Source organism: Homo sapiens, chromosome 6, assembly GCF_000001405.40.
Source record: "Homo sapiens chromosome 6, GRCh38.p14 Primary Assembly".
Taxonomy (NCBI): domain Eukaryota; kingdom Metazoa; phylum Chordata; class Mammalia; order Primates; family Hominidae; genus Homo; species Homo sapiens.
Window position 1 is genome coordinate 101,606,873 of NC_000006.12, and position 15,007 is coordinate 101,621,879.

Below are 15,007 nucleotides of genomic sequence, written 5' to 3' on the forward strand. Positions count from 1 at the left end.
CCATGAATTTGTCCATAAATAACCTTTTCTAGCTTTTCTCTGAGGTGTACTTTGTGCCACGCTTTCTGTGTCACAAACAGGTATGTGAGAAGAAAAACAAATGGTGCTTTTACTCAAATTAGGAATATGAGATATTTGTTGTCCTCTGCTAAAACCTAAATAAATATGCATGACATCCTACAAATGTAGTGGAAATTCCATCTCTGCCTCTAGGCTGCCTTCAACTAGGTCACACTAGGCAGATAAGGATATATGTTGGCTCTTATGTGTCTATTGGGAGAAATCCATTCTTGAAAGTTGGGTTGGGAAACCGTTTCAGTTGTGGCTTATGTATATTTATAGTGCTTGCATTTATTCTTTTGCTGTTCCCCTGTGTGAAGCGTTATATGGGTTCATTTTGACAGGATTGGACGAGGCACAATGTGTTAACCTCTTTTTTCTTGTAATTATATAAACATGTACACTGTACACAGTGACCTGGGAATGAGGATCAGAACATCTGTTATAATAACTGAAATGGTGAATGAGAGTAGATTTTGAATTGTAAAGCAATAAAAGTCACTCTTCTGATCTGTGGCTTTATGCAAATGCAAATGTTTGAAAATGCTGCTGAAACGTGTTATTCTTTAACTTACCAGAGGTAGAAAGAGAGCTTGCTTTTTATTGTTCTCACATGGGTGCTCCCAGCTAGGGAGTTATTTGTCTTTCTTGGAATCAATTAAGTTAACCTTTACAGCAATTTGTTTAGTAGTTTAAGCATTCTAGAAGCTACAGAAAAGTGTCTATTTAAAGTAGCTGATAATGTCAGGATAACCTCATGCTAGCAAGGCATATTTCACAGTAGTTCTTTGGTATGCAATCAGCATCACCTACATAGGCTCTTGATAAATTTTGGATTAAGGAACCAAGAGCCTTTTGGGTACAAATTAATAAAATGAATGTTACTTTCATCATTCTTTTCCCAAAATGAATGATTAGTTGAAGACCCTACCTAGGGGCAGGTCATGAACTCACCTTGCAGAGGAACCTTTGCCCATTCTTCTGATTCCATGCAAACCCTCTTCACCACACCAAGATTACCTTTCTCACGAGAATTATCATTGTCTTTGCCAGTACCAGCTTGGCTGCAAGCAGAGGACATTTTAAAAGATTATTTTAAAATTATTTAAAAATTTAAAGTTACTTAAAATTACTGGTTAGTACTTGGTTATACAAATAATGTAGCAATTTTTTTCAATAGAAAACTGAAGTATAAAAAATGAAGTGATTTGCCTAAGGCCACTCAGCAGAAAGGCTGAACTGGACTGTGAACCCAAGCCAACTGACTCCAAGAGCCCTTATCTTTAATCACTATACAATATTTCCTATTTTATTAGCCATATATTCTGAATATTTTTCCACATCAATAAATATAAATTTAACCATGCATTTTAACGATTGCACAGTATTCCTCTGGTGGTTTACAATGCTATTGTAGAATCTCCTCCCAGATGATATACATTTAGATTGTTTCAATTGTATTTCATAATTAAAAATAGTTCTTCTATGAATATAATTGAACATGTGTTATTTCTAGTAAAATTTGTCTAATTCTTCAATAGCTATGTAATTTGCCTTTCTTACTAATAGAAATATACAAAATTGCTTGCTCAAAGATTATTCCTTGACTCTACATATCATTATATTTATATTAATGCAAAAAACACTTATTGAGCACCTACTGTGTTACACTCAGTTAAGAGCTGCACATTCAACATGGAGTAAATGCACAAGAGGTTATAGACTAATAATTCTCACTAACGAATTTTAGAACAAATGCTTTAAAACCTTTGCTTGATTATAAATATGCAGTTCACTTCTCAGGGGATGTTTAGGAGTATTATCATTTTTAATGGAAATCTCTCATAGAGGGGTGTGTGTGTGTGTGTGTGTGTGTGTGTGTATGTATGTATGTGTGTGTGTGTCTCACTCTCCACCCTGAACACACAAAGTCCCATAGTCTACAGTTGGGTCATTTCATTTGATCTTGAGACATTTGTTTAAGCTATGTCTACACAAAGTCACTGTAAACATTTTGGTCAGTGACCTGCTTTGTTTGACAGTGTCACACCACTGTATTTTTTTCTGGTCTACTTTCACTCTGGATTAACTAGCAGGTTTTTAAAGCTTTCCTCAGACTGCTTTTATATGAGTCCTTGTGGGTATGCATTAGTTTGCATGCAAACTCATATATGTACATTATTTCTGCATTAGATCTCTACTAGATTAGCTACATTATCTGCAATTCGAATTTCCACAATCAGTTTTTGAGTTAGATGTTTAGAAAAGAAAAGTTACTAAACTTTAACTCTTTATTTATACATTTACATTTTCCCTGGACAATTTTCTACAATATTTTCTTCCCACACCTGCTTTGGGTTCTTTCAGTTTTTCAATTTCACAGGAAAAAAATACCTATTATTGTATGTTGAAACTAGTTGTAAAGAGTAAGAATTTTTAAAATAAATTCTAGTTAGCATTAGATATATCCTCTATTCCACAGACTGTTCTAATTATAAAAATAACTCATGTCATTTTGTAATTAACAAAAGGCTTTAGCAAATACCTGAGGCTTTCTGGATTTCTGGAAGGAACACAGTGTGATCCCCATGATTGTCTTAGTTGCCTGCAAAAGGAAAATAATGGCCATTTGATCAATTTCTACAACATTTTAATATGATGTTGATACAAAAATATGGCTTTAAAACTTCATTTTGTTTTAATACATGAGACACTCTCATATTTCTTCTCCATATTAGTGAGATTCTCCAAACATTTATTAAAAACTCACACTACATGTGAGGCACCAAGTTAAGTCCGATAAGTCAAAGAAGAGTAAGCCATCAAAGAGTTTTCAGAGGAACCATGTATGGTAATAGAAGGTTATACCCTTGGTCCTGTCAGAAGTAGTAGAAAAAAGGAATGAAAAAGATGGTGTGAGAGGGAACTTGAAATCTATATGAGGAATAGATAGATATTTATAGAGAAGTAGGCTTCTTGAAGGAGAAGATGAGGTGTTATTAATGTAATATGAATGTTAATATTTTAGCAATCTCAAGATAATTTAATACTATAGTTTTAAAAAGGGGGAAACCAAAAGTAATTTTAAGAATTTTAAGAAACTTTGCCAGAAAATATAGAAGTAAACAGTTGTTTTACTCTTCTTTGTTCCTTCATTTAAAACAAAATAAAATAATAAGCACACAAAAATATACATTTATATATAATAGTAAATATTCCACCTAAGAGCATTAAAATATTGCTTAAAGAAACTGCAAAGTAAATAGGTAAGAAGAAATGAAGGACCTATCTTAAAGTTATAGTCCATATAAATAATAGATACTGTTTTGTATATAATATCAAATTACATATGTAGATTGCTTTATGAATAATACTATTAAATTAATTTGCATTTTTATAAAATATTAACTTGCTAGCCATCTTTTAAATTACTATTTCTGGATTAAAACTCTAGAATGTTTAATACTTTCATTTTAAACTCATGATATCTAAATCATCTTTCTAAACTCAAAACATATTTGCATCTATATTTTATTGATTGAATTTCATAATATTTTGGCAGATGATTTCTCACATCAATGTATTTTTTGCAAAAGAGAGAGTTAAGTGTCCCATATTTGCAAAAGACTGGCATTTAACCAGATCTGAAATTCAGAATCATTATTCTTCCACAATTTACTGTGCAGTTCTTAAGGCAGTTTTAGAATCATTAAAGTGTTATAAATCTCTGATATTCAGATCATTTCACCTGATCCCTTCATTTTGCAGAAGAGATGATGGAGGTCTGGGGAGTGAAGAGGCTTGCTCATCCAGTCACTTTTCGCCTTTTCTTTTCATTTGGTTGACCTATTTTCTTTTAAATAAGTACGATTAAGCACATGCTTTTTACCTTCAAATAGTTGGTATTATTTATACTGTTTATATTATAATTATGTGACTACCTTTCCTGTTATCTCAGTTTGATCAGTTCTATTTATATCTTGATACTATTCAAGCGTCTGCCTTCCCAATCAGTATGCAGGCCCTCTTGGTTGTAAATTGCTAACATTTAAGTAGCCATTTCCCAATTTTCTTCTCAGTGTGCAGTGCCTCTACTTTAAAATTAATATTATTTGCATGTGTATTTTGAAGTCCTCCCTTGGATTTTAATGGTCCATTTATAGAAAGAAAAATCAACACTTATTTTCCATCCACTACTGAAAAATAATGTTGGAAAGTGTAGGAGCTTTGTCAAGTAAAAGCTTATTTATTTTTAAAATAAGAAAGCACATTTACATGCCAGAAAACAACCAATCTTTGTCAAGGGGCTATTACACTATTTCCTGCAACTTGATTTCAGTTTATATACTGACTTCTCACTCATATTCTTTATTCTGGACTGTATCAGCAACTTCTTTTTTTCAAATGCCCAGGACAAGTCTGAGAATATGATAGATGTAGGAAGATGTATGCAAGTGGACCTTTAACGTCTTCTCTAGTTGAAGAACTGCAGAGAGTGCTAGAACTTCGAAAATTCCAGGACATTCTGCAGACAAAATTTTCATTGGTTACATATTTGTATAGTTTTTATTTCACCTGAAATATTGACAAAGTGCTAATGTGTATGCTTTGATGAGATAACTTAGCAACAATGAAGAAGGTTATTGTCATTAGAAATAAGGTTGAAAATACTGGAGCCAGTCTTTTTATTAAATCAAAAATACCTGTTGTTTCATGGCTCAAATGACTCAAAAGCAAGTAGGAAGGGTGGGAGATATTTTTCAGCGTGAAGTGGAGACCAGACACTCCTCCTCGCCTGGAAAATGAGTACATTACGCTATATACTTTCCACATAATCACCTTTTGGGAAGCTGTCACCTACTTATTTATTTTTCCATGGTGTGTCCACGGGTCACATGTATATATGTTTTATTTTTGTTTTCACTTTTTAACCAGCATACATTTAGGCACTCACCAACTTCACACAAAATTAATTTCAAATTGTTATAGTCATAGTTTATATGGACATAAAACTCTTAGAATTTGTTCAAAGAAACAAAGTATTTACCACTTAGAAAGAGGAAAGTTATTGAGAAAATAGCCAGAAGTTGAGGATAAAGAGTGGCAATATTACCCAGCAAGAAGCAATACAGAATGGCAATTAAAAGATGGGGCCTGGACTGAGGTCCCTCGTGTCTTAATCCAGCATCCATCACTTGCCAACTGTGTAACTGACCTTAGGAAGGCACTGAGGATGCTAGACCTGTTTCACGGTCTTGCTAAAGCAGAATTCAATAAGCTCAGTGAAGCAGGTTCTTTGGACTAAGAATTAATCTACCTTGCAGGACTGAAACATAAAGAAGAAAAACAAATCTTAGACTCAGTAATTGGGACAACTTAAATATTATTATATTCAGACTTAAAATATAAATTTTATTTGATGGGAAATAGATTAAAGACAGAAAACGTGAGTCAAATAAACTTTTTGATGACTTTTTATTAATGTTTGTAAAATACACAGTGCCTGATGTAGCGTATGATGTCAATAAATGTTGACTGTTAGGAACTTTCATTCTTCAATGAGATTGAGCTTAGGTGTAAACATGTTTCATACTTATTTAAATTTCTTTAGCTTCAAATTGCAGGAGTTTGCATTATGTTTGAAAGGGGTCTGGAACATTGAGCACATAAAGCAAAGACACAATTAGTTCAGTGCAGTTAGGACCAGTGAGGAATGTTTTCCCAGAAAAGGTGACTATTTCAAAAGCTCACAATGAGAGATAAATTTACAGATGTATGTGTTAATGTGTGTGTGTGTGTGTGTGTGTGTGTGTGTGTGTGTAGGTACATAGGTCAGTAAGAAGAAGCTGGGCTCCTGGGCAGATGAGCCCTGTTTGGAAAGCAATGGAGGCATTTGATTTTGGTTCAATCAGGTAAAGGTAAGTGGTTTAATATGGCTGTATGACTGGGGAAGTGGGAGTGGTAAGAAAAGAGGTTGGAAAGGAAGGTAGAAGACAAATTATGAAAAACTTTGTAAATAGCATTAAGCTTAAAGATTAGTCATTGAAAGATTTTAGGAAGTTGAATAATAAGATCAATGTTTCACGTTATAAAAATGACTTTGATTGTAGTAGCTATAAACTACTGAAAAAAGCTAGAATAGGTGCAAGTATCCATGAAAAATCCAGTGGAGATGCATTGTTGTGGTGTGGAAGACATAGAACTTCTGGACTTAGTCAAGCATATGAAAAGGTTTACAGTGACATTCCTGTAGAAATGATGGGAATCTATAAACTGTTAGCTAGAATAATTAAGAAGACCATTACCTAGTTTAACAATAGGGACAGACTCCAGTGGGGTATCTATGAGGTTATGGTCTAAAGCTTTGCTTGGTCTTTAACTCTTTCTGGCTTATGATTTTTATCACTGACTTAGATATAAAAGCAAAACTGAATATGACCTAAAGGCAGAAGGTAAAGAAACACATTTCACATACCTTTGTAATATTAGTAAATTACCTTGATACATTAGATGTTGAATAAGTTAATAATAACAGTTGATGATAGAATTAGGCCCCAAGTGGTTTTAATTAGAAAATTAGACCAACTGTAAGTAAAAGATATTAATCAGGGATACTTGTAAAAAAATTTTAAAAAAGTACATCACAAACATAAACTTTTTAAACAATAAGCTTAAGATGAATGAGCAGTGTGATACTGTACTGTTAAAAAAATCCAGTATTTTATCTATAATACATTAACTTATGGAGCTGGCCACTCTCTCATAATTTGCTTTGCTTGGATACACTTGGAGTATAACATTGAACTGTGGACACACTAGGCTGTGTTCAGAAAAAAAAAAAAAACTAGAAAAACGAAAGGATCAGATTAGTCATGTGACAAACAGTTAAACAATTTCAAAGTGTTAGGCTAGATGAAAGAAACGCAGTAGGAAGATGAAATGTTTTCAAATTCTGGAAGATAATCATGTTTAAGTTGGGATTAAATGTATCTCAATAAAAAGATATGATTAAAAACTTTAGGAAAACAGGGGATGGATTAATATATGGGAGAACTTTGTGCTGGAGCTCTCCAGAGAGGTGAGGGACTGCTTCAGATGATAAGTTTGTCATTCCTGGAGGCCAATGTGTAGTAATAAAGGCAATCTATGTATCTGAATGATGAGTAGACCAGATGATTTACAGATTGTATGATTCTTAGACTCCATCTTTTACACTCAGGATAATAGTGCAATTTTAGTGCATAGTACATGTAAATATTTGCAGGTTAATTTAATGGTCATTTTGAGAAGTCTGTTAAAAATATGCATTAAGAACAAAATGAGTATTGGGGTTTTATTTCTTCTTGTCCATTTTCTTTTCCCCCCAAACTTTTATTTTGAATTTTTAAACATACAGAAAAGTTCAAACAATTGTATAAATAAACACTCATAAGCACTTTGATTAAACAATTGCTTATATTTTTCCAGTTTTTTGTTTATGATACTTCTTTCATACCTAAAGACTTGATCTCCTAAGAGTCAGGATATTTTCTTATATAACCACTATATCATTATTTTGCCTAAGGAGAAAAAAATGATACCCTAATGTCATTTAATATCCATGGCATGTCATTTAATAGCCAAAGGCCAATGTAACATTGTCCTTTGGCATTATATTGTATAAAAATTAAAGAAGCTTGATGATTTTGTCCTTTGGATAATGATTTGTACAAAATTAAAATGCAGAGGAACCTTTTGCAATTGTTTAGACAGGAAATAAGATTGGTATAACATTTGATGGAGAAAATCAACATATCTTCTGGGAGGATAACAGATGGTGTGCCATTTAGAACATCAGTTTCTTTATTAAATTAAAGTCTACAAAACACAGATTGTACTCACTTTAAGGTAAGACCTATTTGAAAAGTCTCAGAGGTTAGATGTGACGTTGGTTGGTACATCCATCATGGGTTTATGAGTCATACAGTCCTCAGTAGTAGTTACAATTGATTTAAAAGAGAAAGGCATTGACTAGGCTTTAGCAGTTGACTAATCTTTTATTTCAAGTCTTAAGTAGTGAAGTTCTTTTGTGAGTCAGAGACTGTGATGTGAAAAGTTTCAGCACTGAGTGTTCTGTGTAAACCAGGGATCACTTGACATTTGGTTTCCTATATCTACAAAACAAAGGAGGGCAATTGTGCCCATGAAAAAGAAAGGTATTCTCCTCTCCTTCTTTTTTTCTTCTTTTAACAAGCCTTTTGTAGTGAAGAGAACTGTTAACTTTTAATATAAGCTTGGAAAAAGAATTGCGGGCATTTTATGGTTTGATATAGAGGTTATGTGAGATATGATGGCCCTTCCTGAATTAAGAAATAAAACAATGATAAAGCTGTGAGAATGATTTTCTTAGATGATGTTTTGAACCTAAAAAGTTCAAGGTAAGTATGAGAAAGCAGTACATTTTGCTTGTGTTGTATGGAGAATAAGGAATTAGATGATAACTACACAGGAGTCTCCAGATTCTTGAAAATGTGAAACTGGTTGAATTTTGGTGTAAGTCTAGAAAGAGCACAAAATTATTGATTACTAAGATGCTTCTTTAAGATCATATAGGTCTTATGAGTCCTTTATTATTCTGAGATATATTTTATCCATCAAACATGATTTATGAACTCTCAGGAGAGCAATTATCTCTTCATGGATCACATGCTTATGAAATACTATGTACAATCCTGACATTATAATAAAAAGAATAATTCTAGGAGAAAACAGTTTTATAGAAGATTCCCAGTACAAAATGGATATTATTTTTTCAAGTCATAGGAAAGAAAAACATCTTGTTTAAAATCATGTGAACAATTATCCTTTTGCAGGCTCATGAACAGGTGGAAAAAATGCTTTGCCATTCAATTTTATAATAGCAATTTAAAAATCAAAGATGTTCTTTTAAAATTATAAAAACCAGCTGAGATCTTCCTCAGAGAATCAAATATAGAGAGCCTTATATTTCACTTTACAAAGAAAATACATGAAGTATATATGCCCCTGATTTCCTGCCCATCTTCACATCTGCAGATTACAGATAATTGCTTCTTGCTGGAGTGAATAAGGTGTCCTCCTCCCCTAGGCTTAGCCTATTTGCCATGCTTTGGATTTGATCCTCTCTTTTTCCTGAGACACCTGGCTCCATCACTAATGCCTTCTCTTTTCTACCTTTTAGCTTTCTCTTCCTATTGGTTCTTTCCCTCTGCATATAAATATGTTAAGTCTTTCTCATTATAAATGAAGCAAAGACACAAACACCCTGAGATTTTATCTTCACCTTTCACTGTCCTGTTTTCTGCTACTCTTTAATATTCTAGCTTCATTTTGAAGAATATTCATTTTTTTAAATAACAAGATTAACATATTTCCATTGTTAGCTATTTAAATTATACAAATAAATAAAAAATCAGAAAGTCAAAATTAATCAAATGCCTATCATCTAAAATGAACCAAGGTTAATATATTGTTATGCATAAGGGCATATTATAACTACTTCTGAAGCATTTTGTCATGAAATACCTTCTATAGAATAATTTTAAAATGGCTAAATATATAGTATTTTATTAAGTATATCTACCATAGTTTCTGTAAAAAGTCTTTTACCATTGTATACTTAGAAAATTTTGAATCATTGTGTTCTTATAAATAAAGAAGTGAACATCCTTGCAGCTAAATCAGTGACATTTTCCTTAAGTTTCCATCCTGTAAGTAGAATTAGTGCTTTCAAGTGTGTGATATTTTTAAAGCTTGATAGATTTAAAAAAAGGACTTCAATAAAGTTTGTGTCGATTTATTTTTCTATTCAGCTGTGCTCTTTCTTACACCTCAATACATTTGATTCATAAAGATTCTATCTCATTGTTTTAATTAACCTTTCCCTTTTCCTGTTTTTGAACATTTTCTTACATTTAGCGGTTATTTGCATTTATTATTTATGAATATTATCTACTTATGTTCTTTGCCAGTTTTTCTACTGGAGTTGTGTTTTCAGTAGCTAGTTTTTTTATTGAATATATTATTTTCTTGTAAAATGTATTATATTTAATATACTTTCATATATTTTCATATTTGTCTTTCGTTATATTTGATGCATAGATGTTTTTCAAATATTGAAGCTACATTTAGTAATATTGCCTTTATTTTTACTGCTTGTGTTTTCAAACTTAGAAAGGCCTTAGCACTTTCATACAATTGTTTTTTAAAGTAAAATTTTATTAAAGAATGATCTATGTAAAGTGCACACATGATACAAGTAAAGTTCTAGTAATAAGTATCCAAGCACTCAGATTAAGAAACAGATCATCACCAGCATCCCAAAAGCACATCATGCTCTCTTCTTACTGCTATTCCCACCACTAACATTTTTTGAACTTTTTGAACAATGAAATCATGCAGCAGTATACTTTTGTGTCTGGCTTCTTTCACTCAATCATTTGTTTGTGAGATTCATCTCATGTTATTGCATGTAGTTCTTTATTGATGCAGGTCTTCCATGTTGTTATAAATATTCTTGCACATATGCTTTGATGAACTTATGTACAGATTTATGTTTATCAGCTATCCCAGAGTGAAATTTCTGTGTCACAGAGTTTGTATATTTTCAGTGGTAGAAGATTCAGACACTCAATTTTCAATGTTGATTGAGCCAGTTTGTCTTTTTCATTTTAGCCATGCTGGTGTATATAAAATTGTTTCAAATTGTGGTTTAAATTTTCATTTTCCATAATACCATGAAATTGATCACTTTTTTATGTACATTGTCCATTTCAACTTATCTTTTGGGGAATGCTTGTTCAAATTTTCTACCCATATTTCTGTTGGTTTGACTGCCATTTTCTTTTTTTGTAGATTCTTTAAAAGAGAAGTCTTTTCTGTCTCTCCCTCTGTCACACACACACACGTGAAACTACTAAATGTGTGTATATATGTGTGAATCCACTAATTCTACTTATAGGATATAAAGAAAATGTCATATATATATGTGTGTGTATATATATGTGTGTGTGTGTTTTGTCATTTGTTTATGGCACACATATACACGTGTGTGTGTCTGTTGAGTGTGTGTCTTGTGTGTGTCTCTGATTAGGAAGTTCTTAATTTTAAGAAAGTCTAATATGTCACATTTTTACCTTTATAAGCATCACTTTTTGTTTTCTTTTAAAACATCTTCTCTTAGCTTTTTTTTGAACTTTATTTTTTAATGTCACATTTCAATGTATGATTGAAATAATTTCTATATAATTATCTACTTAATCCAGAAATATTTATTGAAAATACAATCCTTTTTTATTAGAACTGCAGTATTATCACTTTAATATTGTTGTCTATATAGATGGAAAACTATGGATTCTGTGTTCTACTTATCTATTTTTCTCTATTAATTTTTCATCAGATACTATTTCATTATTTGTTTAGTCTTTGTCCTAGAATTCAAAATGCATTCTTGAATTACTATGTTCAGTTATTTCTGAACATAGTATTTCTCCAAATACTGCTAAAACATTAAAATCCTTTAATTCTATTTATGCATTTTTTGCTTTTTTAATTATACTTACCATACACTTTAATTCTAAACATAAACTTCATCAGTCATTCCTATTCTTTCTTTTTATAGTCCAAATTTATTGATTTTCACCCATGTGTTTGTATTTTCTCGTATACTTCACATGTTGAAGCAATGTAGTGGCTTCCTCTGTAATCAATAACCTGCCTATAGAACTTGATTTAGTTAGTATTTGTTTTAGTGGAGGCTTGTTGGTGATAAATCCTTTCAATTTTGGTATTTTCATTGATATAGTCAAACATATTTGGCAAAACACATTTGTATCTCTTCTCTATATGTTATGAAATGAAAATAAATACTAAAGAAGAGTGGATATTGTAGACATTTTATCTTTTTCCTGACCTTAATGGAACTTCCTCCTCTTATATATAAAATTTACTGTTCATTCGTGATTTTTATCTTAATAAAGTCTCATTATTTTATTGTTTTCCAAAAAAGTATTTTTAAATAAAAATAATTATCAATTGCATTTATACTATCTAGTATGGTGAATCTACTTTTTTCTTCTTGGAACAATTACTAAGTTGGATGATAGTAAGATTTTCCGAATTTTTAAATAGAATTAAAAAGTTCTTTCTCCTCAATAGTTTGTAACACCAATCTAACTTTATTTGGAAACCAATTCTTTACTAGATTTTTTTCATCTCCTTCCACATACAAGGGGTAATAAGCTATTCATGATTTATCTCTTTTCTTTAGTTAACATTGTTGGGTGGTTATATTTTGTCTTAAAAGGTTGCGTTATCTGGATGTTTTTATTACAAAATTTTAAACTCTGGCTTGGATTAATAAAATATAGCTATTTATTTTTTAATTTAAGGTGGAAAATGGGTTATCCTAAGGAAATAAAAAGATTTCTTTAAACATTCAAACTTGTGATAAATATGTAAACTTAAAGTCGAATTTGAATTATTATTTTAAAGATTGATAAAGAATAAGAAAGTTTCAATTCAGTATCATCAAATATTGATTCAATATTATAACTGGGTAAAATATTGATCCAATATTATAAAATATGATCTTTATTGCATACTTTTATTACATAGAAACTACCATTTTGAACGAAAAAAGTAGAAGATTCAGTTTTTTGTTTTATTTGCCAGCAAGAAACCACTTAAGGCTTGCATTTCTATAATTTTCTCTTTATTTCTACTTAACTTTACAAGTACCTTACAATTAGTTAACTATTTTTCTGTTTCATATATAAGATCTTACATTTTTAGTTACGTCTTATTAAGTCATCTTATCTCACATTTTAGGAAGTTTTGTATATTTTGCCTGACTGAAATTTTGCAGAAAACTACTAGTTTGTAGTGGAACAGGCAAGGGTTTTGAAGTCAGGCATGAGCAGATTCTACTAGTGGCTCTATCACTTGATAGCTATGTGATCTTTGACCAGAGGGGTAATTCCTGTAAAATAATGCTATTTTGGATGGCTTTGAAGGTTCATTGTGACCTCAAATACTTGTTGAGTGCTTACTCTGTGACAGCCACTCTAAATGTTTTGTACATGCTAACATTTATTCTTTATTGCAATTCTATGCAGTAACCTCCCTTGTCATTCTTCTTTCAGAGATGAGGCAGCTCAGACTGAGGTTTTAAGCAACTGCCCAAAATTATACAGATAGCAATTGGCAAATCCAGAATGTTAAACCCGGTCTAGCTCCAAATAAATGTTATATATAAGGGTAGAGAGTAAAGAAGAATACCACTGTTCTTCTCCACATACACAGAAGGAATCTAGGTTAGTTCTTTACACCCATTAGACACATATAATTATTATCCTTTTGCTTAACATAAGTCACCAAAGACTTCAAATATATTGAGTGCCATTTCACAAGTTGATTGTTTTAGTAAGTACACCCTTAAATTGGTTAAAATCCAGAATAAGAGAAATATTTCAAATGAATATGGTATCAAATAATATTTTTTATCTTGTTCCTGAATGTAAATTTGCCTCACCCCTCTAGTCTATTCTGAGTCCTAATTCCTCATAGTTAGAGGAATTGTTACAACATTACGACTTCTTACTAATTTATAATAGGTAGTTTGCTAATAGTATAGTCACCTGACATTCATGTGTCAAAATATCTTTGATGAGGTATGAATTGCTAGATGTGGAATAGCTTATTCAAGAAAGTTTAATTTATGAATGACTGTACGGGGAGTACATGGTGTGAAATTTGAAAGGAAGAAAGATAAATGTTCTGCGTTTTTAAAGTACTTGTTTCCTAAGGACAGAGGTTGGAGGGGATTAGGAATCAGATGCTCCACCTTTTATTTCATTATTCAAACCAACAATGATTCTTTTGGAGGCAAAGGCCTCAGTTGGGTCACTCCCAGCTAACGAGAGAGCAATGATATTAGAGAGAAGGAAGGTTGTGACAAGAGTGAGGGAACTGGAATGAGACAGAGCTGGTGGAAGGTCACAAATTGAAGGGACATATTTTAAAATTATACTCTATGGCCAAAATTATATACTAGTTTTATTCATTGATTAAAGGAGTTGCATTGTTTTGGAGAGGCATCCTTCATAAATGTCAAGTGTCTTCTTAAAAGGGACTTAGAATAAAGCAACTAGCAAAATGCTAACTCTCTTTTCTCGCAAGTAAGATGCTGAAATTTGCAAATAATTTGGGCTTTTAACACAATAAATGCACGGTGGCTCACTCCTGTAAATCCCAACAATTTGGGAGGCCAAGGCAGGCAGATGGCTTGAGCCCAGGAGTTTGAGACTAGCCTGGGCAATATAGTGAAACCCCGACTATACAAAAAATACAAAAATTAGCTGGAAATGATGGCACACGCCTGTAGTCTCAACTACTGGGGAGGCTGAGGTGAGAGGATCACCTGAGCCCAAGGAGGTCAAGGCTGCAGTGGGCTGTGATCGCTCCTCTGCACTCCAGCCTGGGCAAGTGAGTGACTGTCTTAAAAAAGAAAAAAAATTGTTTAAAAGAATTTTGATTTCTGAATGGAGACGGAATTTAACACATTTTTTTCAATGCTTAATTTTATAGTATATATCAATGAAGAGGATTGATTATTCTGGAACTGTTTACAAATTTTGGGGGGGATAAATTTCAGTACTTAAGTCAAGACCTCTCTATACCTAGGCCCTAAAATAAGTAATAACTAAAGAAAAAAAGTCCAAATCATATTTGTATCATGTTAAATTTTGGCAGCAATACTAAGGCAATTTTACCAGTATGGCTGTGGCTAAAAGAGAATATCCCAAAGTTCATAAAGTAAGCACACACCCCATGTACTTAAATCTCTCCCTCTCTCTCTCTCTTTCTCTCTCTCACACACACACACGCAAATGCACTTGCACATATATAAAAGTACAGAAAACTTCTGATA

At 32.1% G+C, this 15,007-nt stretch overlaps 1 protein-coding gene across 8 annotated transcripts in view, besides 1 other annotated feature; it reads left to right on the top strand.

Moving 5' to 3' along the window:
• GRIK2 (glutamate ionotropic receptor kainate type subunit 2) overlaps positions 1-15,007 on the top strand; it is a 676,376-nt gene that overhangs the window by 213,165 nt on the left and 448,204 nt on the right. Inside the window, exon 1 of one of the 8 annotated variants that reach the window (XM_005266946.5) lies at positions 12,899-13,391. The exons of the other annotated variants lie outside the window; for them this stretch is intronic. The gene's annotated coding sequence lies outside the window, so the exon portion shown is untranslated. Of the gene's footprint in view, positions 1-12,898; positions 13,392-15,007 lie in introns of those variants that run through there. 8 annotated transcript variants of the gene reach the window in all.
• Positions 7,709-8,572: an enhancer, noted in NCBI's record as "OCT4-NANOG hESC enhancer chr6:102062456-102063319 (GRCh37/hg19 assembly coordinates)". NCBI's record gives its function as "activates a minimal SCP1, AML or CMV promoter by ChIP-STARR-seq in naive H9 embryonic stem cells {active_cell/tissue: H9 hESC(naive)}" and the evidence as "EXISTENCE:reporter gene assay evidence [ECO:0000049][PMID:30033119]".